The following is a 24,693-nucleotide window of genomic DNA, read 5'->3' as shown; positions in this document are numbered from 1 at the left end:
AACACTGAGACAGGGATGAACCTTCAACAAGAGTCAGGATGAGGAGAGGATCCAGTGAATGAGTTTCCCTCCCCTTTTCCCAATAACAAAAAATGTTCTGAGACACAGTACTTGGGATAGCCTGTACTATCCCAAAGGGGGCCATATAACTAAGTAGCTTGCTTCCTTTCCTCTTTTCCTGCCTTACCTCCCTATTTTCCTCACTCTTACAGCCCTGGGATTGCACACCTCTTTGCCCACTTCCCAAGTAAGGCATTACTGCATAAGCTTTGCTTCGAGTTCTGTTTTCTGGGAAGTCTAGGCTAAGATATTAGAATCATGATATAATTTAGATGTGGATAGATTTCAATCAATTGTTCTTCTCAAGGGCTAGATAGAAGATGTTGATGGGAAGGTGTTTGAAGCCACACTTGGTGCACCTAGAGCAAGAAGAGGTCAAAGAACAATGAGAAGTCTTGGAATAGCGTTCATCTGTCTGGCAGCTGTTGGTCTGGCCTCTTGTAAATGCAAATATGCTGGGACTCCTCTTATTTCCACTGTTCAGTCCCACATTTTTTCTGGTCTTTGACTGCTCTCCGACTGCTCTCCTGCCTCTTGACTCATGCGGTTTGTCTCACCTTTACTGGCTCCTGCCATCTCCAGATTTGCCTTGCACCTGTGCCCTATGTTGCTCAGATTGACTTTCTTGGGCTTCTGGCTTCTCTTCCTCACCTGTGGCCCCATGTTCTGGCATGGGACAGCCTTGACCCACTCTAGATGCTCAGCCAGCCAGTTCCATACATCTCAGCATGTGGCCATAATATCCTGTGCCCTTGAGTAGAAAACAAATCTCTAGCCTGTGTCATAATGTGGAGAAAATTTCAATGAGATGATATTATAGGGAATGCAACTACTCCCCTGTGCACATATTAGTTTCATACTGCAATAGGAGGGCCAGGTTAGAAAAATTAAACCCTTAAATTAATGCCAATTGGATACTAGGTTCTCGGTTAAAATTCTGTCAATACACATGAACTATTTGGAAGGGAGAAGAGACTCAATCTTGTGAATCAATAGAATTTTTGTAACATTTGTGCCTACATAGTTTTTCACCAAAAATTTATCAAACAGGCACATTTTAGATGAAATGCAATAATTGCAGTAGGTTTCAGGTTAATCGACTAAAGATAGCAGTATATTTGGGGAACAAATTGCTAGGTGGAAATTGATCTGACTTAGAATATCAAAGCTGGGGGAAAGATTTTTTTTTTTTTTTTTAAGACAGAGTCTCACTCTGTCACCCAGGCTGGAGTGCAGTGGCACAATCTCGGCTCACTACAACCTCCACCTCCCGGGTTCAAGAGATTTTCCTGCCTCAGCCTCCTCAGTAGCTGGGATTACAGGCGTGTGCCACCACACCCAGCTAATTTTTGTATTTTTAATAGAGACAGGTTTTAGCTATGTTGGTCAGGTTGGTCTCAAACTGCTGACCTCATGATCTGCCTGCCTCGGTCTCCCAAAGTGCTGGGATTACAGGCGTGAGCCACTGCATCTGGCCAAAAGATTTTTTTTTTTAAGGGTACAGGAAGTGAAGGTGAAAAGACTGAAGTATAGTGACTGCTGAGTGACCAAACCTGGCCTTGACCCAGGCCTCATGCCTCCCAGGGTAGAGGGTGGGGTTGGTGAAGCCAAAGCCAGGTTAATTTTTTGGGTCAAAGGACATTTGTGTTGTCCCTGGGCTTCTGGGCCATCTCAGCCTATGATGTTCTGTCAGCCACCAAACATGGGACATGAAAATGGATTTGTTCAAGTGATTCCAAGCCTTGGCACCTTTTTAAATGAGCAAGTGACACAGTACCAGGCAAGACGCAACCTCTGCAAATGAATTAATTAGACTTTCAAAAAGAGCAAGCAGGCTTGCAGTGGTGTTTTATTACACAGTTTTCTAAGTGGTAATTGAAAAAGAAGCACTTGCTTTTAAATTCCCTCCTTGAGGTGTTAATTGTAGCAGGGAGGGACTGGGGAGACAGAGAACCCTCTGTAAAGTGAATCGCTTCCTCACTCAGGACCTGATGGGTACAGAGCCTTTTATGCTTGTTTTGGGAAACTGAAGGAGAAGAGCACGTCACAAGGCTGGCCGTGGGAGCTCCAGCCATTGCTGTAATAGAGAAATTTTAAACATGCTCCTACAGTGCTCTGCTTCCAAACTACTATAGACCAGAAGGTTAATATGAATCAAATTTTTAAAAAGCACTGGACTTGATCCTACCATTGCCTTCTACGTAGCCTGCCACCTGTCTTCCAGTTCTCTCCCTTCTCCCTTTTCTTCCATCAAGAAAACCTAGTCTCTGGGCTACTATTCAATCTAATGTTTCAAGTTCCTTAAGATTTGCTGAGTAGCTACAACATATGAGCCATTCAAGAGCTACAGCAGTGAATAGGATAGTCTGTCCTCCTAGAAGATGTAATAAGGGGAAGACAGGCATATGTTATACCACAGCCCCCGTGGTATAAGAAATGAGAAAATGCAGTGGAAGTGATAAACCACAGAAGATGAAAGAGTTATACATGGCACTTTTGACCCACCTAGGGTTAGGGTCAGAGTTGAAAGTTATGAAGAAATCATCCAATCAAATCCCTTCACTAATGCTGGCCAGACACAGTGGCTCACGCCTGTAATCCCAGCACTTTGGGAGGCTGAGGCAGATGGATCACCTTAGGTCAGGAGTTTGAGACCAGCCTGGCCAACATGGCAAAATCCTGTCCTACTAAAAATACAAAAAATAACCAGGCATGGTGGCTGGCGCCTGTAATCCCAGCTACTTGGAAGGCTGAGGCAGGAGAATCACTTGAACTTGGGAGGCAGAGGTTGCAGTGAGCTGAGATTTCATGCCATTGCACTCCAGCTTGGGCAAGACTCTGTCTCAAAAAAAAAAAAAAAAAAAAAAAAAAAGGCAGGGCGCACTGGCTCACGCCTGTAATCCCAGAACTTTGGGAGGCCGAGGCGGGTGGATCACCTGAGGTCAGGAGTTTGAGACCAGCCTGGCCAGCATGGTGAAACTCATCTCTACTAAAAGTACAAACATTAGCCGGGCATGGTGGCAGGCGCCTGTAATCCCAGCTACTCAGGAGGCTGAGACAGGAGAATGCTTGAACCCGAGAGGCGGAGGTTGCAGTGAGCCGAGATCACGCCATTGCACTCCAGCCTGGGGGACAAGAACGAGACTTTGTCTCAAAAAAAAAAAAAAAATCCCAAATCCCTTCACTATTGCTGTGGTGTCCCTGGACACCTGGGATTGCAATTATGTAAGATCAGTAAGAGCGTAGGTCCTGGTGCCAGGTGACATTTTGAGTCATGGCTCTACCACGTGACCCTGAGCAAATTACTTACCCCTTTTCTGTGTCCCAGGGTCCTCATCTGTAAAATGGGATGATAATAACACCCACCTCTTAGGTTTTTCATGAGAACGGGATACATTTATACATGTAAAGCACTTATAATGCAGCCTGGCACATGGGAAATGCTATCTCTATTCAAACTGGCTGAAGGACTGGTGGTAGAGCCTCACAGAGGAGAGGGATGATGGAGAGGGACTCACGGGAGCCTCTGAGGGGTGGCAGAGGACTTTAGGAGACCCAGCATAGGACCAAGCCATGCAGGTGTCCAGCACAACAGGCACACACACATTACCCTGACAATAAGCCCACTCACCACCCAACCTCACTTTTGTACAAGGGAAAAAGAAGAGAAGAAAAAGGAGCTGGGATCAAATGAGAATTTCTATCAAAGGCATAGAGGAAAAAAAATCTGGTAATGACCATTTATCTGAAAGTAACTAAGTTTTTTTGCTATGGACACAAGAGAGCTTAAGAGCTAAGTCCAGCTCAGTTGCAGAGAAAAAATTCTATTTTGCACAACTGAGTTGGTGGCTGAAATTCATACCCAAGAATCAGATCAATGAAATTGCCCCATGCCTTGCTCACTACATTCCTGCTTTCTGTTTCCGCAGCTGCTTCCTCTGGTCATTGATGTGTCAGCTCCCGCTGTGCATCAGCCCTGCTGCTCCCCGGAAGCCCCGCCTTGCAAATCACAAAATGTACCCAGCACTCCCTCACCCAGCCTGGATTGGCAATGGCCCCACAGGACACATGGGAATGATGATCTTTAAGTCTCAGATGCCTCATGAATAAAGTGGATGTGATGGTGCCAAATCTGACTGAAAAGTGGGGAATCAGCTGACCTTTCCCAGGGATTAAAGCATCACCTGCTGTGCAGGGGTTTTGTGATACATGAAGGCGGTAGTGCATGTACGGTACCAGGAGTAACATTATGTTATTTTAAATAACAAGATAAGTGCTCAGGAGACAAAGTATGTTGTAATTATTATTTTGTTCCTTTGGTTCTAAGATCTCTGATGTTGCAAAATACATATACGCGTGGGTTTCTATGAGGGCACTTCCATGGAAATGAATGTAGAGTTGTACATAGGAAAGCTGGGAGAGATGGGGGCAGCTAGAAAGTATTCTAGCTAAACATAAGAACAGCCTGGAAGACCAGACATGGTGGCTCATGCCTGTAATCCCAGTGTTTCAGGGGTCTGAGGAAGGAGGATTGCTTAAGCCCAGGAGTTTGAGGCTGCAGTGAGCCATAATCATGCCACTGCACTCCAGCCTGAGCAACAAAGCAAGAACCTAAAAGTAAAAATAACAAATAAAAAAACTGCCTGCATGAAGTTTCAAAAACTCCCATTGTCCAGGGCACTCCACGACAATTACATCAGAATTTCTAGGGATAGACTCCAAACATGAGTAATTTTTTAAACCCCCAGGTAATTCCAATGTGCTGACAAGGTTAGGACCCAGCTCTGCAGTTTAGACCTTTGCTTCTCAAAATGTGATTGTGGACAAGCAGCATCGGCAGCCCATGGAGGGTGTTTGTTAGAAATGTGAAGTCTAATTTACATTCTCACCAACTACCTATTGGGTACTATGCTTACTACCTGGGTGACGGATCCATAGCCCAAACCTCAGCATCACACAATATACCCATGTAGCAAACCTGCACATGTACCCCGTGTATCTAAAAGTTGAAATTATTTTAAAAATAAATAAATAAGAAATGCAAAAATCTCGGGTGTCAACCCAGATCTACTAAATCAGATCTGCATGGGAACAAGTTCTCATCCTCCTAGGTTTTCGTGAGAACTAAATGAGCCTATGCATGTCAAGGACTGTTGCAGACATGACCCTGCTGGGACATGGGAGCTGTACTCTCTGTGGCTGGCTAAGCTTTGGTGATCCCTGGGCCTCGGTTTCCTCTCTGATAAAACAGGATGCTGAGCTAGACGATCACAGCCCTGGCATCTGATCAGTCTGTGGCCTTCTGCCCAAAGCAGCCCCTGATAAGCCATGGTCCCTCCCCCACCCCCGGCCCTGGCCGGGATCCCCAGGGTGTCCTACTGAGGAGTCCAACCCAGGAGCAACTGAATCTGGCAAGAGCTAAAAATTAATTCCCTTCAAATCAATAATTTGCAATTAAGCACAGAAGACACTAAAGCCAAGGGGGGCCGGCTTCTGGAGAGAGGACAGCTGAGCACTTCAAGCCTTTGGAAATGAGAAGGGGGGGATGCCCAACCAGTTCCAAGCAAACAAATGAACATTCGGTTCCATTGTTTGTGAGGAAGCAAGCAGAGGGACTTAAGTGGTACTTGGAGAGTGGGGAAAAAAAAAAATCAAGAGATTATATCAGCAGGACTCAAAGCCAGGAGCTAATTTACTCTCAGCAGCCCTCTTTGCTCACACACTTCCCGTGGCTCGGTGCCCCCACCCCGCCATGCTGGGGCCCTCTGAAGCCTTTACAACAGGGCTTCACAGTTCACTGGCTTCAGGCAGCACCCAGCTCATGAAAGAATTGGAAGCCTGCCTGGGTCCCCGCCCCATCCTCAGCAGCAAGTGTCAGACCAGACTGGGTGAGCGCCAGGCGGGCAGTGCCAATGGGGAGCGCAGATATGACAGAAGCAGAAGCTCAATGGAGCCAGGATGGAGAGATGGTTGCTGCTCCACAGTGATCGCTGCAATCTGGAGCCCAGAGCCATCCCATAGATCTCCAGAGATGCAGAAATTCTTGAAACAAAATGGAAATGTGTTTAATTTTAGAAGTAAATGGATGCCATGCAGCCCTGGGAGGTGGAAGAGGCAAAAATACAGTATAAAGAACCACAGTTCTGAAAAGACAGGAAATTCAATTTATAGAGATTGTAAAACCGAACGCTGCTTTTTTTTGAGTTTCCACAAACCACAGTAAAACAAGGAAGGCAATGCCATTTTTTCCTCCCATAACAATTAAAAAATGACTTGCCTATGAGTCCTTAATAAGTCAAAGCTAAACTCCTTGCCAGAAAGGACAGGGAAGGGAATGATACCTATTGAAGACCTACTGTGTGCTGGGGTCTCGGGGCTTTAAAACAGCATCTCATCTGGTCCTCACAGTCCCATCTGGAGGTAGATTTTAGTATTGCCTTCATTTTACCTGGGAAGAAATTGCCCAGCATTGATGGCTCAAATCTGAAATAGGAATTGAGCTCCACTCTATGGAAAACACTCATCTGAAACATGAAGAAAGACACAAAGTACTACAAGACACCACTCCTACTTGTGCTGTAGTTGGGAAAGCAAAATTCCCAAAGCAAAAAAGGTAACATCATCTGGCAAGCGCCACATGGGTAGAGCTGAAAAGAATAGTGGCATAAGTGTGAATAGGGAGAGATCAGCCAGGACTTGAGTGGACAGAAAGACACAGTGCACATTAGGGTTGAGGGGACCTTGAAAGAAAACATGGTTTGAAGGGTGAAGGGGAGGAGAAATATGCCAAGTGAAGGTAGCAGCCAGAACAAAGCCACAGGAATGAGGGTAAACTGGATCTGTTAGATGGTATGAAGACCATTCATGATGCATTTTTCTTTGAGGATGTTGTGATAACCTGGAATAAAAAGAATTGGCCCTATAAAGTTGTTGTCCAAATCTTTTTAATTGTGAAAGGAATTCTAAACCTAAGATTTAATAAGGAAACAGAACTATTCAGTCATCTGACAATTATTTGCTTGTCTTAGGCCAAGACTCTAGGGCACAGCTGCTGGCTTGGCACATTGTTAAGAGCTCAACCTCCTGCAGAAAACATGGGACCAGGTTCCAGTCTCTTAATAGGTGATATAGAACTACAGACTGAGACTCCCACCCACCTATACCTATATCAGATCATGGTGCGCTGTGCTGTTCTCCTAAATGCAGAGCTAGGCTCGGGGGAAGGTTTCAAGCATCTCATTCTAGTCCACTGTAGTTATTTCTGTGAGCACCCCTGGAGAAGAGCCAGAGGTACCACAAGTCAACTTTACATACTGGCCAAACCCAAGTCATTATCCCAAGAGAAAAGAAGCAAGAGGAACGAGGAAGAAGCTGAAACACTCTATGGGAGAAGTTTTGCATCTCTATTCTCTGTGTGGGGTAGAGAGGAGGCTGGTTGAGACTTCTCTTTTCTCTTCTTCCTCCTCCCTCTGGAGCAAGACATTCCATCTCCAAGGAGGAAAAATTCTGGTCTGGATTGTTTAAATTCCAGAAAATTGCATTGGATGGAGCACTGTTCTACTGGGTGTAGCACCTAATAGAACAAAACATTCCAGGGCACATGAATGCTGTATCTTAATACCAATGTAGCAGTCACATGAGCGATATCCCAGGTTCAAGGTCCGTTCATCTTTTCTCTTCTCCTCCTTCTTCCTTCCATGTCAGAGTAGTAAAGATCCCTGAACTGCTCTGAATGGTTCTATTTTCCCTATTTATATTCTATTTTCACTCCCCTTTGGATGCACACTCTCTCTTTCTCTTGGGTAAAGGAGTCCTGGGAGGGACAGCATAGGCCAACTCTACTCTCATCACGGAAGCACTTAACTCTGTCTCTTCAGGGCTCCTTTTTGCTGAGTTTGACTTGTTTTTCCATTGCAGATGTAACGTTAAGACTTATATTTGGCTGTGGAGAGGAAAATACAGGAGTTCACATGATTTATTTATTTATTTTTATTTATTTAGAGACAGAGTCTTGCTCTGTTACCCAGGCTGGAGTGCAGTGGTGTGATCTTGGCTCACTGCAACTTCCGCCTCCAGGGTTCAAGCAATTCTCCTGCCTCAGACTCTCCAGTAGCTAGGATTACAGGCATGTGACACCATGCCCAGCTAATTTTTGTATTTTTCGTAGAGACGGGGTTTCACCATGTTGGCCAGGCTGGTCTCGAACTCCTGACCTCAAGTGATCCACCCACCTCCACCTCCCAATTATTTCTTTTTGAGGCCATGTTGCCCTTCCTGGTATAGGGGAAACTGTGGAGGGGACTCAGCCCAGTTCCTGGAGTCCTACACCGGGGTAGGAAATGCTAAGCGGAGTCTTACTCACTGCCATGCTTTGTCTCCCCATGCACCTCCCTCCTCTGAGGAAGACCTAGTGAGAAGGAGAATTACCTAGACCAAGGCAGGATTCAAGTATTTCGGAGTACCCTAGGCAAATATAATGGTCACTGCTTCCTAACCCAAGCCCTTAATAAGACTCAGTGTCTGACATGCAATACTCACCTGAAATCATCAACTCCCTAGGAAATAAGGAAAATTGGAGGTTCTATGCAAATCCCCTCTTCCCACTTCTCACCCCCTTCTGTGACTGAAGCACACACACAGACGTGCACACACGCAACGCGACTCTACACAAATTAGATTGAGACGTTTTCTGGAAAAACAATCCATGGTTCTGTTTCCATGGAAGCAGTCGCAGGTCCCCAGTGGCAGCAAATGGCAGGCAGACGGCGGTGAGGGAGCTCGCGGTGCCGCTCTGGGCCAGCTCCTCGCCGCCCAGCTGAGCAGAATGCGCGGCAGGAAAGAGGGAGGCAGCCTTGAGCTGCACCAGAAAAACCAGCCCTCCAGGGAGACAGTGAACCCCAGCTGTGCCCCCTCTTTTGGGGCAAATGTACATCTGGGCACTCTGGGCACGGCTCCAGCCAATCAGCCAGGCTTACCCTCCCACAGCTTCTCACAAAAGCCTGCTCGCTCAGAGCAGATGGCAGTGCCAAGACGGAGGCTCCACCGAGATGGAGGCCACCCATGGGGCTGGCGCTGCGAGAACGTTGCTGCTCCTTGCAAACGCCCTTTGTCCCACCCCCATCTGTAAGGTACCCTGCTCGCCTCAGCTCCTAAAGCGAGTACCCCAAATGTGGTTCGTGTCCTATGAGTGGTCCCCAAGGTGATGTGAGGTGGGGCATTCATGAATATTCTCTAAAAATTTTAAGTGACATATTTATTGTAATGTGTGCTCGAGGAAAAAAAAAAAAAGGGAGACTGGGCATGATGGCTCATGCCTAGTCCCAGCACTTGGGGAGGCCGAGGTGAGAGGACCTCTTGAGGCCAGGAGTTCAAGTCCAGTCTGGGCAACACAGGGAGACCTCATCTCTACAAAAAAAAAATAATAATTTTTTAAAAATGAAGATAAACACAGACTCTAATTTCGTTAATAGTATTGCTTAACATAAAACTAAAGTATATGTTTAAATAAAATGAGTCCATTTTGAGGCATTATGAAATAAATGATAGGATGGACATTTCACAGATACAACAACTAAAGAATGTGACAATTGGGTGTGAACAAATAAAGATTGGGAAACCTGTGTTAAGGAAAAGATTACAACATCCAATGTCCTCTTTTAGAACTGCACAACCTTCCAAGCAAGAGGAAAAAATGCTTGAGGTGACAGGTACAAGATCAGGGCTCTGGAAAGGGGACACCACAAAATTCTCCCTTGGGGCCAATATATTGGGGGTTCCCTTTGCCTCCCCTAGTTGACACCCAATGCCAATGCCCAGCACACTTTGCTGGGGCTCCCAAGAGTGGTGTCAGATAGGACACTCAGCTTGTGGAATTCTGTTTCATACTGACTCCAAGCCTACCCTAAATCAATTTTCTGGTAAGCAAGACCAGACAATGCAGAAGGCCCACTTAGAACCATGACCTTGGAGCCAGCTCTAAGCAGCCAGCAGTGTGCTCCTTTCTCCCCAGCCACACCCTGGCTGCTCTCAGCATTTAAGACTCAAATGCAACTTCTACAAAGAGGGTACCCCCACCCCACCCTGCCCAAACTGCACTTCCCAAGGTCTCACCACCCCAAAATGTAGTCACAAAAGAAGCAATAAAAGTAGACAAGAAGTAGAAGCTTCTAACTCCCTGTTCAAACCCAGGTCTATATTAGCTCCGGCTGCCATAACAAAATTCAACAGACTGAGTGCTTAAACAACAAGCATTCATATTCTCACAGTTCTGGAGGCTGGAAGGCTGAGATCAGGACACCAGCATGGCTGGGTTCTGCTGAGGGCTCTTTTTCTGGCTTTCAGACAGCAGCCTTCTCTCTGTCTTCCCATGACACTAATTCTTCAAGGCCACAAATCCCCTCATGAGTGCCCCACCCTCATCACCTCAGGAAACCTAACTATCTCTTAAGGCCCCACCTGCAAATACCACCACACTGGGGAATACTGTGATATTCCTCAAAACAGGAATTTTGAGGCCACACAGTTCAGTTTATAGCAACTGCTTTGACACTTCAGGAGAAAAAAGTAAGAACTGGACCATCAAGTCCCCATTGTAAGCTACAGTTGGCCCTCCATATCCATGGGTTCCACATTCAAGAATACAACCAACCTCAGAAAATAGTGGCCAGGCATGCTGGCTAACGCCTGTGATCCCAGTGCTTTGGGGGGCTGAGGTAGGAGGATCGCTTGAGCCCAGGAATTCAAGACTAGCTTAGGCAACATAGCAAGAATCCATCTCTACAAAAAAATAAAAATAAAGAAATTAGCCAGGCATGGTAGCACGTTCCAGTAATTCCAGCTACTAGAAAGGCTGAGGCAAAAGGATGATTTGAGCTCAGGAGTTTGAGTCTGCAGTGAGCTATGATTGCACCACTGCACTCCAGCCTAGGTGACAGAGTGAGAGAGACCCTGTCTCTAAAAAAATTTTAAAAATAAAAAATAAATTAAAAAAAATATTCGGCCGGGTGTGGTGGCTCATGCCTGTAATCCGAGTACTTTGGGAGGCCAGGGCAGATGGATTACCTGAGGTCAGGAGTTTGAGACCAGCCTGGCCAACATGGTGAAAACCCATCTCTAGTAAAAATACAAAAATTAGCCGGGAATGGTGATGCACGCCTATAATTCCAGCTGCCCAGGAGGCTGAGGTGGGAGAATTGCTTGAACCTGGGAGGTGGTGGTTGCAGTGACCAGAGATTACACCACTCACTCTAGCCTGGGTGGCAGAGCGAAACCCCATCTCAAAAAAACAAACAAACAAAGAAACAGTAGGACAATAAAAAAATAACAAATAAAAAACAATAACAATTTATATAGCATTTACATTGTATTAGGTATTATAAGTAATCTAGAGATGACAAGGTATACAGGAAGATATGCATAGATCATGTGTAAATACTACATCATTTTATACAAGGGACTTGAGCATTCTCAGATTTGGGCATCCTGATGGGGAGGCCTGGAACCAATCCCTCATGGATACAAAAGTAATCATACTTGTGACTGAATCTATCTAAATTCACTATAATTCTATAAGGCAAGTATCATTTTTCCCATTGTATAGAAAACCATTTTAAGACTCAGATAGGTTAAGTGATTTGGCCAGGACTCTACCCAAGTCTATGTGACTCCAAATCTTGTTCTAGTTCATCACTCAGCCACCCCCTTTTCCTGGTCTTCCTCAAACTCCATGGTGTCCTTCTGTGCCTCTTCAGGCCCCTCCCTACTTCCTCTGCGCATGTAGTCAGAAGGGGTCCCTAGAGAGCCCATCAATCTGAACCCCTGTAAAAGGCCATTTCCTCATAACACACCCTGAACATCTGTAAAAACAATTTCTCCTCAAGCTCACAACTCAACCTCATAATAAAAACTCAACATCCAATAGAACCTTAAAAAAAAAAAAAAAAAAAAAAAAGTCCTGATGGCATTTTAACTCCTAGAAGGACTTAGTGATGTTTATTTCCCAGTTATTCTGGGAAGATGCTTGTCTCTTTGGGATAGGGTTATCTATGAGGCACTGGGATTTTTCTTTTTTTACACTGGGAAGAGTTTGTTGGTGTTCAACTGTATAAACTAGATCATGCTGCTGTAACAATCTCCAGATATCAGGCATTTTAATTTATTTCTCACTCACTCAAAGTTGGCTCCAGGTTTAGGCAACTTTCCAGGCAGCTAGCCTCCTGGTGTTAGTTGACATTCCAGCAGCTTCCATCCCTTTCTCTTCCAAAATAGCCCAGACAGTAGAAGACAAGACTGTGAAGAACTGCACATCAGCTCATGCTGCATTGTCCAAAGCAAGTCAGATGGTCATGCCTAACCCAAGGGCATGGCAATATACAACCCTCCAGGTTCCAGGAGGGAGCAGAGAACCAGAAATATGGGGGAGATGCACTGTTTATCTGCCACACTGCTGAAAGGCTGTCCTCTCATCCACAAGTGCAGGGAGAAGCCTCATTGTCGACCGGACTGTTCATCTAAGAGTCAAGATGAGAGTCTGAGGCCCTTCTTGGCCATTTCTTAGCTATGTGGCATCATGGAAGTTGCTTGGCCTTGCTGAGGCTGCGTTTGCTTATCAATGGAATGAGAAAAAAGCTGATTCTGCCAACCTCACAGGGTCATTGTGGTGGAAAATTCAAAGTAGGCAATGAATGGGAGTGTTTCTCCACAAAAATGTGTTACTCTTAAGTGGTAGTTTTTCAAGTCATGTTTTCCCTCGTGTGGAAGGCAACGAATAAAAACAAACAACAAAATCCTAACCAGTTTCAGGCATCCTGAGTTCATATCCTCGGTCTCCCCTCTCTAATAAAGTCATTTGATCTCTGTGAGCCTCAGTTTACCCATCTATCAAATGGGTGGTGATGTTGGTCCCACATATCCCTATATGAGACATTGAATGCAAAAGCACTGTATAAACTGTAACAATCTCTACAAATGCAGAGAATCTTTATCCTCCCTTCCTTCTTGTACCCGGGATCTCTCCCCTTCTATTCACCTTGCAGTCTTTCAACTTCTCAACAAGGTCTCCAACCCTTCAAAGGGCCTTTATTCAGGCTTAATCCCTCTCCCTCACACATGTGCTTAACTTTCCACAGCATCTCTTCTTTGTTGACCATCAGACGTGCTGAAAATAAGGCTACACCCATGCCTGGTCTCCATTCCTACCTTCCACTGACTCTCCAGACACTTCCTATTTAGCTTCTGCCCTATTTGTGAAGAGTGCTTTCTAAAGGTTGCAGAATCTCTCCATTAAGTTTCTGTGAGTTTTACATGTCCTTGACCTATCTGCAACATTTGACAGCAGGGACCACCATCAAGCCCCACCTAATCTGACTCATTCTACATCCTATCAGCTCTATTCAGGTCCTGCTGGTTGTCTCTACAACACGTCTCTGTCTTATTAATTCATTCACTGAGACTTTGCTCATGCCCATCTTGGACTTTCCTCACTAGCCCACTTGATGTTTTAATGTTTCCATTTGTTATTGGCTTTATTCCTGAAACAGCTGTCATCCATCTCTTCCTCTCCATCCTCATTGCTCCTGCCCTGCCCAAGCCCCCAGTCATTTCTGGTGTGAACTTGCTCCCGTAGTTACCTGACTGGTTGTTCTTCATTCTGCTATGAAATGAGAGTGTAATATTTTATCTATCTACCATCAAGGCTTATTGTAAGAAGAAAATTGATCTGTGAATTTAAAGAAAATAAACTATATTTATTAAATATAGTTCCTTTCCTTCTCCCTGATTAAAACACTGTCTAGTTTCCTTTCCAGGATTTGATTGGTTACCATTCACCTGTGAAAAAAAAAAAAAAAAAAAAAAAAAAAACCCTTTCAAGCTTCTCTGTTTTCTTCAAACTCTGGTCCAAATATCTCTTTCCAGCCTCATATTTAGGGACTCTCACACCACTTCCTCATGTCTCTATCTATAAGAGACTATGCAGTGCTCCCCAAAAATGCCACCCACCTGTATCTAGATTGCACTCTTTCCTCCCTCTGGAATTTATTTCTTCTGTTCTCTGAGGGAAAAAAAAAAAAATCCTTTTGTCCCCTCCGCATCTCGATGTAAACATTAAATCCCGTACAAAGCTTTCTCCAACCCAAAGCTCCTACTCCCAGGAGCAAATCATTCCTCCTTAGCTGTATTTTCCTGCACTTGATCCCAATTTCTGTGGAAATGTAGCATTGGTCCCTTCTTACTAGAGTTACTGTGTGACTTGGAGAGTGAGAATAGAGCCAGGCTACCAATAAGGAGACAATTCACTAAAATGCATCACAGGAGGCAAGGGGGCCTGGAAACAGAAGAGCAAGGTAAATGAGATAAGAAGGCCACATTGAAGAGGAGCAGAAGAAAACAGGTCGACAGCTCAGGGGTAAATGGAGTATTTTCTGCTAGAAGGCTGGGGTCACGGGGGGAGCAAAATGGAAAGCGGAAAGGGATTAGTGAGAAAGGAATCTGCCAGTTGTGAATGAAGTGGTATTCATCCCTGATTTCTTGTCTGCCTATTAAATAATGTCATATGTGATTTTTGCTGTTAATTAAAGATCCTCTTATAACTAGAGTTTGCCAGCCCATGCCTGCGGGGAGGGGGTTAGACTGTCCATTGTAATGTAGATCATGCTAGATGGGCTTCATGAGCTAATGTAAGTGAAGTAAGATCCCTCCAGCCAAGGCTCCTGTGAGAGGGCAGATATGTGAGTTGAGACTGCTTTAGCCTGCAAGCTCCCATAAACAAACAGCAGCTGAAATGATAAGGGGTTTATTTCTCTCACAAAGCAATATCAGCATAGCAGTCCAGGGCTGGAGTGTGCACCGAGGAACCAAGCTCTCCCCTCTCTTTCTCTTCCAGCCTTGGAGAGGGCTGCCAAGCTCAAGCCCCACACTCACAACAGGGAGGAGGAAGAAAGAAGAAAAGAGGCCTCACTTCTGTGATGTTTCACCGACAACAACTGCAGCCAGAACACAGTCACTCCAGACTGCTGGGGAATTTGGAAGGCGTGTTCGGATCTTTCCAGACTTTATATCAGAGAAAAGCAAATGAAGAATACACTGGAAGTGTAAGCTACCCTACATCACTGCCACAGCTGGCTTGAGACAAATTCTAGGATTGCCTGTCTTTCCTCTATGTTCTGCATCCCCTGAATACAGGGGTACTGGTTTAGTAATCACAAAACAAAATAAGCAACACCAGAGACCCAGTGGTATGTATTAATGTTCAATTAAGTATTTGTTGAGTTAACATCTCCTTGAAGGAAGTTATGGGAATTAGTGCTCTATAGGTAAAAGTTCATGGCCAAGATGAGTCCCGCTGAACAGAGAATGTTCCTAAAAGCCACTGAGCAAAGCTACAGTGGAATCACTATTTCAGTGGGGATTTATTTCTACCTAAGCCTACTTCTAAAGAGATTGAGATCATATTGCATGATTAAAACAATCTATGAGCCATGCCAAGTAGAAAGACAAGTATCAAAGAGGGGGTATGTGTAGCTGCAGATTCTGGACATTAAAATAAATGTGATCATGGGAGAAGATGAAAAAAGTCAAATGCATACCAAGAAGTCATGTAATGGAGCTTGATGTGGGCATTAAGATTCTTTGACGGACTGTGGCCCAACTGAGGCCAAGCTGCTGGAGTCTCCCCATTAAAAACCTCCAGAGCCATAGGAAGTTACTGAACACCTAATTCTTTTTTGTGCATCTTCCCATTGGACCTTCCTCAGGGATTTAAGCAAGCATAAACAGCTACTATGCAGAAGGCATGGGAATAGGCAATTCCATGTGTCTCATCTCATCTGATTTCTGAACCAAGAGAGGGATTGGTAAAATTAATTTTAGTTCTGCAACTGGCCTGCCTGGATATTATACCAGGAACAGGCCTGGAGTAAGAAAGCAAGAAAGGCTGCCTTGAAAGAACACAACAAAATATTATCTTGTGATTATGATAATTTTATAAAGTACTTAACTTTATACAGTACTTTCCCTCACACTGTCATATTTGTCATTCAAAATAAGTACTGAGCAGTTTTCTGGTGATTGATGAAAAAGAAAGGAAAAAGTTCATTCCTACCAATAATGAGCTCAGAGATGAAAGAAAGAAAGGAAAGAGGGAGAGAGAGAGAAGGAAAGGAAAGGAGAGAAAGAAAAGAGGGGAGAGGGGAGGGGAGAGGGGAGACGAGGGGGGAGACGAGAGAAGAGAGACGAGAAGAGAAGAGAGACGAGAAGAGAAGAGAGATGAGAAGACAGACGAGAAGAGAAGAGAGACGAGAAGAGAAGAGAGACAAGAGGAGAAGAGAGACGAGAGGAGAAGTGAGACGAGAAGCAAGAAGAGAGAAGACAGAAGAGAAAAGAAAAGAGAAGAGAAGAGAGAAAAGAAGAGAGAGGAGAAGAGAGAAGAGAAGAGAGAAGAGAAGAGAAGAGAGAAGAGAAGAGAGATGAGAGAGAAAGAGAGAAAACTGCAGCACAGTGGAATGTGCTATGGAAGCTCAGGGTAGGAGAGGCTGGCTCTCCCTGCTGTTATCAAGGAGGGAGCTTTGGAGTTCACACAGACATCTGAGCTGCAGAAAGAAGTAAGGAGAGGCCACCCAGATCCAGAGACAGAGTAGCAGGCCGTAGTTATACAGTTAGGGGTCAATGTGATGTCCCTGTATCCTTTTATGGAGCCTTCTTTGTAAACTTTAAGCTTGAAGGAATTTCTGTCCTTGCAACCAAATGACTCCTGATTACAACAGCAATGTAGGCATCTCCTGTTTCTTGGCAATCAGACAGAAAGCCCCGTTCTCTATCAGGATCTGTGAACCCTGGATTCGCCTGCTTGGCTCCTTTATCTGGCCCTTTAACCTTTCTAATTGGTGCTCTCTTCTCTCGTCTCATTGATGTCACCCCCTGCTTGCTATACAACAACAGTCTGGCCCTTATGCAGCCATATTATCATTGCTCTAACACTCCTCTTTTAAAGGCCAAGAAGATAAACAAGATATTTAACTAATCAGATAGGCTAAATCTTACAAATCCACTAATCCACACAAGTCCAAACAGCCCTCTTGTCCTGATAACTCATGCATAATCAATTATACAAGCAAAAAGCAGAAAATAAAATGCACTTATAATCCCATTCCCCAAATATAACCATTGTTATCATTTTTAGGGTATACACTTCCAGGCTTTGTTTTATAGACATTTACACACAATTTTCTTTCACAAAAATAGGGTCATATTAAAGTAACTACTTTGTAACTTGCTATTTTCACAACTGTATTAGTAATGGTCATTTAATTACAAGTACCTAGTAGAAATCAACTTCAAGATGGCTAAAGCAAAAAATGAAATTAAAGCATCAGATGGAATTCAAGGAAGAATTGACCAGACAGGCAGCAGGAGGGACAAGCCTGGCTTCCTCCTCCTCCTCCTCCCATTCCCTCACTTTTCCTTCATATCTCTCTGAACATCTGCCTCATCTTTCCCCAATAATTTAAAAGTTTCTTCATTTGTGTCTATAGGTTTTAGCTCAGGCCTGATGTTAAATGTTTTCTTAATTCAATTCTTTTTCAAAGTTTACATTTCTCCCCCTTTCAAAGAACCATGTATGGTTTTAAATCAATTCTACCATATTTCTGTGTTACAGTTTGTTAATTGTTTGAAACACATTTATTCCTTTCTTCTAGTTTCCTTGGGTTCATTTATTGTTTTTCTAGTCTCTGTTATTTTAAATCTCCCTTTTAAAAACTCATAAAAGCAACTGTGACTTCCCCAAGCCTCCTTCTCTACATGATGCTCATCCTTTCTTACTCAAAGGTGTGGAATTGATGAGGCACATTAGAGAGATGGCTACTGAGAAGACTTATTGCCCCTGGAGCAGCACTTCTGGAAACACAGGCACAGAGTCCTTTGGACTCTGCCAATGCTTTATGATTTTAGAGGGTCCTGAATTTAAAACCAAGAAATGGCCAGCTGTGGTGGCACACCTATAATCCCAACACTTTGGGAGGCCGAAGCAGGTGGATCACTTGAGGCCAGGAGATCGGGACCAGCCATGGCCAACATGATGAAACCCTGTCTCTACTAAAAATACAAAAAATTAGCCGGGTGTGGTGGCACGTTCCTGTAATCCCAGCTACTCTGGAGGCTGAGGCAGGAGAATTGTTTAAACCCGGGAGGCAGAGGTTGCAGTGAGCCGAGATCGCACCGCTGCACTCCAGCCTGGGTGACAAAGTAGGACCCTGTCTCAAAAAATAAAATATAAAATAAAGAAATGGTTGCAGGTCTACTATTTGCCAAACATTGAGCTAGCCACGCTGACATATATCCAGAAAGGAAGAAAGTATTATCTTCATCTTACCAATAACGTAACATATGGGCAGAGAACTCACATGATCTACCCACTTACACAGCTAGTCTGTGACAGAGCTCAAAGGTGGGCCTAGATTTAACTAATCCCAAATTGCGTGCTCTTTCCATGACTAAATATGTTTCCCAAACAATTCTGAAAAGAACCAAAATCATAAAGAAAAGCCTCCCTGAAGTAGCACTATCTAAACCCAACAAAACTTTTTAGGATGCTTATATTCAAGATCTCTGGCATCACAGAAGTGGGTATTTTATCTTTATCCATATCCATTTATAGATATATAGATAGTATCTCTATCTATAATAGCCAGGTATTTTTCCATCATCTGTCAAGGTATTTTTCTTGATTTTCTGAGAGATGAGCTATGAGGATGCAGCAGAAGCAGCTGTTTTGGAAATACTGCCTTTTCTTTGTTCTGAATGCTATTTAAACATTGGCAGGGGGCCTCATTAAAGATGAATCGTTGAATTAGCAAGTAGTGTTGTAGCTAGAAGAGACAGCATGTGCTCCTGTGGCGAAAACAGATTTGCACAAAGGAGGGAAGGTTCGGGGGTAGGTGGGGGCGGGAGGTGGACGGAGGATGAAAAGACCCAAGACATGGCAAAGTCGTGTGTTTTACCGTGTTCTCTAACCTACCCACTACCAGAAGAAAGCACAAAGAGGCCAAAAAGGGGCCCATGAGCAGCTCCATCTTTCGAATATATGAATATGAAAAGGAAGCCCTTCACTCTAGGGCAATTCTGGTTATTAATAATCCTGACTCCCTTCCCTTTATGGTAAATGAGTGACCTGCAGTCTCAGACGACCTAAACACTTGGACACCTAACCCGGTGCAGTAGCTCACACCTGTAATCCCAGCACTTTGGGAGGCCAAGGTGGGAGGATCACCTGAGCTCAGGAGTTCAAGACAAGCCTGGACAACATAGCGAGACCCCAATCTCTACTAAAAATAAAAAAATTGGCCAGGTGTGGTGTTGTGCACCTATAGTCTCAGCTATTCGGGAGGCTGAGCCAGGAGTATTGCTTGAGTCTGACAGGTTGAGGCTGCAGTGAACTATGATCATGCCACTACACTCCGGCCTGGGCAACAGAGTGAGACTGTGTCTCAAAAAAAAAAAAAAAAAAAAAAAAAAGACTTGAGTGCCAACACTGCTTTTCAGTTTGAAGTGCCAGGAGTGCTATTTAACAACAATAGCAACAAGAGGTGAATGATTCTAAGATATCCCCTCTCCCCACTCTCTTCCCCATGAGCCCTCTCTGATATTGGAGGTGGCGAAGAGGTATTGGTAGTTTTATTTCTTCGAATATTTGTTGCAATTTCTACATTATCTCTCATACTTATGATGGCTTCAATTTGCCTCTGGGTTTAGAAATGCAATAGACAAGCCAAGGGGATCTCCTGTGGGGTGAGTGATCCCACCCCAGAAGTTGAGACTCATCCCTCAAGCAATGTTTCACTGGTGTGTCATTTCCCTTGGCCCTCTTCTTCTTTCCCCTGAATTTCTGATGCCTTGTAATTTGGGGAGGGAAAAGTCGAGAGTGGGAAACTGATGGAGAAAGAAGAGGTGAAAGAAACTGGTATTGAGTCTCTACTAAGTTCCATCTATTATTTGTTATTAATAGGAACCCCAAAGGAGAGAGTTTTATTCTCATTTCTCAGGAAAAACAAAAAACAAACAAACAAAAAAAAACTGAGTGTCAGAGAGAATAACTTGCCCAAAGTTGCGCAGCTGAGAAATAGCCCAATTGGAACTCAAAGTCACATGTTTGACTCCAATGCCTACACTCTCAATTTGCTAATTCTCATAAATAATCATGGCTATGTTAAGAGAAAGGATTTGTGTATGAGTCAGTAGCCTAAACTGGGGATCCTAGAAGGCCTTGTCTCCAATGACCTCTCCCCCACGGGGACCTGAAGAAATTCCTGGCATGAGTCACCAACAGGAACTCATCTTGCTCCCTTTCCTTAACTCCTGCCATCCCAGCTCCCGGGGCCACTGACCATTTGGGCAGAAAGTACAAAAGAGTCAAGATCCAAACAGCCAGGGCCTGGAGAGCAGCTGCATCCCAAACTGTTCTGGTTGCAAAGGTCAAGCTTCCTGCCTTGCTGAACTTCTGTGCTCCAGACCTTCAGCCCAGACTAGGCCCTAACATAGGCCCCTCCCTCCCCAGGGAGGCTTCCTCCTTTATTTGTCCTCCAGAAGCCTGTGCTCTTGAAGTACAGATGGGGATTGATTTACAAAGGACCAAGTGGGTAAGCTACACTAATATGTGAGTTGAGAGGATGCTGGACGAAGTCCCCTGTCCCCAGACTTCCATCACATTGTCTATCATGCAACCTTCTCTCTCCAAAGGTTTGAGACGTCTTTGAAGCCTTTTTTTTTTTTTTTTTTTTTTTTTGAGATGTTGTCTCACTCTGTCACCCAGGCTGGAGTGCAGTGGCGTGATCTTGGCTCACTGCAACCTCCATCCCCAGGGTTCAAGTGATTCTCCTGCCTCAGCCTCCCAAGTAGCTGTGACTACACGCATGCTCCACCATGCCCAGCTAATATTTTTTTTAGTAGAAACGGGGTTTCACCATGTTGAGCAGACTGGTTGTGAACTCCTCACCTCAGGTGATCCACACACCTTGGCCTCCCAAAGTGCTGGGATTACAGGCGTGAGCCACCATGCCCGGCCCTTTGAAGCCTTTTATACCAATGAGAATACAGCCGCGAGATGGATCACACCATAGGTTATCATCCAGGCTCTTGGGTCACTAGGATTCAGCTGAGGTCGCTGAAGTGGAGGCAAACAGAGATACAGACCAAAAGACAAATTCCAATTTCCTACCAACGTGCACAGAGATGGTCTTGCTGATTACTCTCTTTTAAGGTTCAAGCACGAGCCCTAATAAGCAGTAAGTATCCTGCACCTTTCTCAAAAGCAGCAGAAATTACACAGTATTGGAGCCAGCCGCCGTGGGAGGCTCAGAGTAAATAGTCTGTGGCCGCCGCTGATAAGGCCTTTATATACCTGTAGTCCTTACCCTGAGTCTGCTAACACAGCCTCTTTAAATTAGCAGCGTCAGGGATGTCATGGCCCCCACTCCACCCAGAACAAACCAAAAAGCCAGTTAACATAGCTGAAATATCCGGAATAACCCTGCGTACCGGAAATCTGAACACCTCCAACAGATGTAACTCCATTCATCCCCTCAGACTTCTGGCCTTGAGCTCTCTACTTCTCAGGCCAATGTCTTCACTTTTGCTCATGCATTGAAAACATCTGCCTGTCCTCTAATTCCCTCTTTTCAGGTGGCCTAATAGCTAACTGCTGCCTTCACTGGGCCCCAGGTGCAGACCAGCCTGGCGTCTGCTGCCCCTAGAATCGGTTTCCCTGGGGAGTCACCAAAGACTCCTCTGGCACTGTGTTTCTTTGTCCATACGTTGTGATGTGATGTCCTCACCAAAAGACATTTTGTAAAGGCATCTCCGAGGGCCTCCCTGCTCTGAGCTTCCCACTCCCTTTAAACTCACTGGCTTGGCCATACCATTCGAATGGTAAAATGAAACAATACACCCTTCTGTCCAAAGTCGACAGAGCTGAGTGGAGTCTTTGCTCTTCCATCTTTATCAGCTGTGTGACCTTGGCCGAGTTCACCTGTTTGAGTCTCAGTTTTTTCATATTTAAAATAGGAGGATACTACAAAGTGCACAGAAGCAGTATGAGTCTTAAATGACTAATGTACAGAAATGCATCTATCCATTTATGCCTGGCACACGGTAAATAATCAGTCAGAGTGTCCTTCCCCTAAGCCCCAAGCAAAAATTGGCTGCCATTTCTACTGAACAATGGACCCAATTAAATTGGTTTATTAGCCCAGCTGAATTAATGCACATTGTCAAATCAGAACATCAGCACAACCTGAAAACAATGAAGAAGCATTTTTAAGAGCAAACTACATAAGAACTTGGCTATGGTTATGGAGTAGAAATAGGTAACCATTTGTCACCTTCTGTAGTTAGCATAGAGATGCAAACACCAAAATGGTCTCCTTTTGAAAACAAGTTATAGTATTAAACTTATACTTTGACTTTTTTTTTTTTTTTTAACACAAAAACCATTTACTTCGCTGTGTGGCATCACTGACTGTTGCTTTAAATTTCTCAGTGTTTCAACTGATGCTTGGTCTTATTTTTTAAAACGCAACCAACTCATTTTCTGTCCATAGGGAGAAAGGAGCAGAAAAGGGCCAAATGCCTGGAAAGAAATGCCTGGATATTAATCTCCTCTCTTTAGAGATTTAATACTGCACAACTTTATAGCCAATAATTAGTCAAGGTGCTGCCTTAATCAGGAAATACGGGGAGAAGGACCAGTTCATGCTTTAAACAAAAAGGCTTTACCTATGACCGAAAGCACTCCAGGACCAAGACCTCGCTCCAGCTGCCCGGTTGTGTGGCTCAGATAAAGAACGCGTCTCTCCTAAACTGACGTTGCATGACATGTCTAAATAGGCCTTCGGTTAAGGAGGTTTTGTTTCCTACTGTTCTGTACCTCTGCCTTCCCTGTACTTTCTCAGGTTAGGTCATTAAAAAAAAATTGTACCAAAAAATGTACTAGAAACTATTGATTTCTGTTGTGCTAAAGCCCCTGACATTCTGGCGCGATGAAGATATTGCTGTGGACCTTGTGAGCTTTCTCATACTTCTCTTCTGCTTATGAGGGTCTCTGAGGATGGTATTAAAGATATTGTAGTTCCCACTTTCTGACTGTGGGATATCAGCAGGGTCTCTCCTGTGTAAAGAATAATTATCAGCACTGCTGTTACCTCTAGTAAGTGTGTAATTACATGCTCGGTTTTGTGGGCTCTAGGCTGTGCAATTTTAAATTATACAATGTCAAATTCTCTCTCCCTCCCTCTCCCTCTCTTTTTTTATTTGAAAGGGGAGGTGGGTGATTTTTTTTTTTAAGAGACAGAAGGAGGAGTGAGTGTGGGAGCCTTTCCATCCACACCAGCCGAATCGACAGTGTGGTAACCAAGGAAGGTCAAACGCTGCCTCTTCATGCTAGGATGTCAACCTAGAGGACGCCTCTTTAAAATCAGAATGTACTTGGCAGTGGATGGGGTGACATTAAGAGGGGGAAGTGTTGCCCCCCCTCCCCCGCAAAATGGTGGAGATGGGGAGATCAGGGGGCTGAGGGGAGTAATGTAGGAAAAGGAGGTGTTTGTTGGGTGTGTGGTGATCGACAGCAACATCTACAGGAAAGGGGCATGGGGGCAGCACAGCCTCCTCTCTAATTCCCAGCCAGAAATTAAAGTGGCTGGAGCCTGACTGCGTGTGAGGCTTAGGGCTGATCAGCATTAGCTCTCAGAGTGGGAAATTAGCCTGAGCGTGATGAACAACCTGAGGTGAGGCAGGCAGCCACGCAGGCGGCCACCCGTTGGGATCCCGAGGTGCCAGACCGCACCTGCCTGCACGGATGGCCAATCAGCGAGCGCCGAAGAAGCCCCGCCTCCACCCCGCCCACCTGGGGCCAGCCCCCGTGCGGCAGGTGCAGCCCCCAGCCCAGTGGATTTGGGTTGTCCTGGGCTTCCTTGCTCACTGCAGAGCTGCTGTCCTCCTCCCACTACCCCTCCAGGGGTTAGGGGAGGCTAACTCTTGTACCTACCTCCACCCTTGAAACCATCCAGACTCCTCCCGCTGCAGACCCTGGCTTACATGTCTATTTTATGATCAACTCGGCCATCCAGGTGTTAACTTATTCAACAGTGTTGGGACTCAGAAAACACAACATCCCCAAACAAAGCCTTCAGAGGCAGCCTCAGAAGCAAGTTTTTCTCTCACCTCCTGCACTCCTCTCTCTCCCCTCAAGGTTAGCCATGGAAACTAGAATCCCTTTTCCCCGAGGCCAGTCATAGAAACCAGAACCCCTTCTTCCAAGTCAGCCATAAAACCTAAAAATATTACTCTAAACTTCCTCTGCCTTTCTGTGTAAAAATAGGCCATAAAGAAATTATCTGACCTACCTTATTTGACTGTAGGTCATAGGACCCTCATTCCAGAGAGGGCCTGCCCCACACCCAGAAGGAAGGAATGCACACTCAGAGAGGCCAGGAAGGAGCTAGACAGATAGGCCTCGCTGGGTTTCCTAACTCAGTCTGTTAGCATTAGAACACATCCATTTTGTCCAATCGTATTTCTACATGGCTATCCATACTTTGTTGCACCTAAGCATAAAAATAAACAATTTTCCCTGTATATTTGGGTATT

At 44.8% G+C, this 24,693-nt stretch overlaps 3 long non-coding RNA genes across 3 annotated transcripts in view, besides 2 other annotated features; all 3 read right to left on the bottom strand.

Moving 5' to 3' along the window:
- The window catches only part of LOC107986933 (uncharacterized), a 207,238-nt gene that overhangs the window by 142,859 nt on the left and 39,686 nt on the right, over window positions 1-24,693 (bottom strand). The gene's annotated exons all lie outside the window — the stretch shown is intronic.
- Window positions 5,688-8,685, bottom strand: LOC105379332 (uncharacterized). Its single transcript, XR_949594.3, has 3 exons — window positions 8,599-8,685; window positions 6,417-8,002; window positions 5,688-6,102 (listed from the first exon to the last, which is right to left on the bottom strand). It is a non-coding gene; the product is annotated as an uncharacterized LOC105379332 (long non-coding RNA).
- Window positions 9,427-23,903, bottom strand: LOC105379333 (uncharacterized). Its single transcript, XR_949596.1, has 3 exons — window positions 23,827-23,903; window positions 22,825-23,215; window positions 9,427-9,465 (listed from the first exon to the last, which is right to left on the bottom strand). It is a non-coding gene; the product is annotated as an uncharacterized LOC105379333 (long non-coding RNA).
- Window positions 14,404-14,977: an enhancer, noted in NCBI's record as "NANOG hESC enhancer chr8:25537050-25537623 (GRCh37/hg19 assembly coordinates)". NCBI's record gives its function as "activates a minimal SCP1, AML or CMV promoter by ChIP-STARR-seq in primed H9 embryonic stem cells {active_cell/tissue: H9 hESC(primed)}" and the evidence as "EXISTENCE:reporter gene assay evidence [ECO:0000049][PMID:30033119]".
- Window positions 18,578-19,181: an enhancer, noted in NCBI's record as "OCT4-NANOG hESC enhancer chr8:25532846-25533449 (GRCh37/hg19 assembly coordinates)". NCBI's record gives its function as "activates a minimal SCP1, AML or CMV promoter by ChIP-STARR-seq in naive H9 embryonic stem cells {active_cell/tissue: H9 hESC(naive)}" and the evidence as "EXISTENCE:reporter gene assay evidence [ECO:0000049][PMID:30033119]".

The sequence above is a fragment of the Homo sapiens genome, chromosome 8, assembly GCF_000001405.40.
Source record: "Homo sapiens chromosome 8, GRCh38.p14 Primary Assembly".
Taxonomy (NCBI): Eukaryota; Metazoa; Chordata; class Mammalia; order Primates; family Hominidae; genus Homo; species Homo sapiens.
The sequence above is the reverse complement of the archived record's forward strand: the minus strand, read 5'-3'. Positions and strand labels throughout refer to the sequence as shown.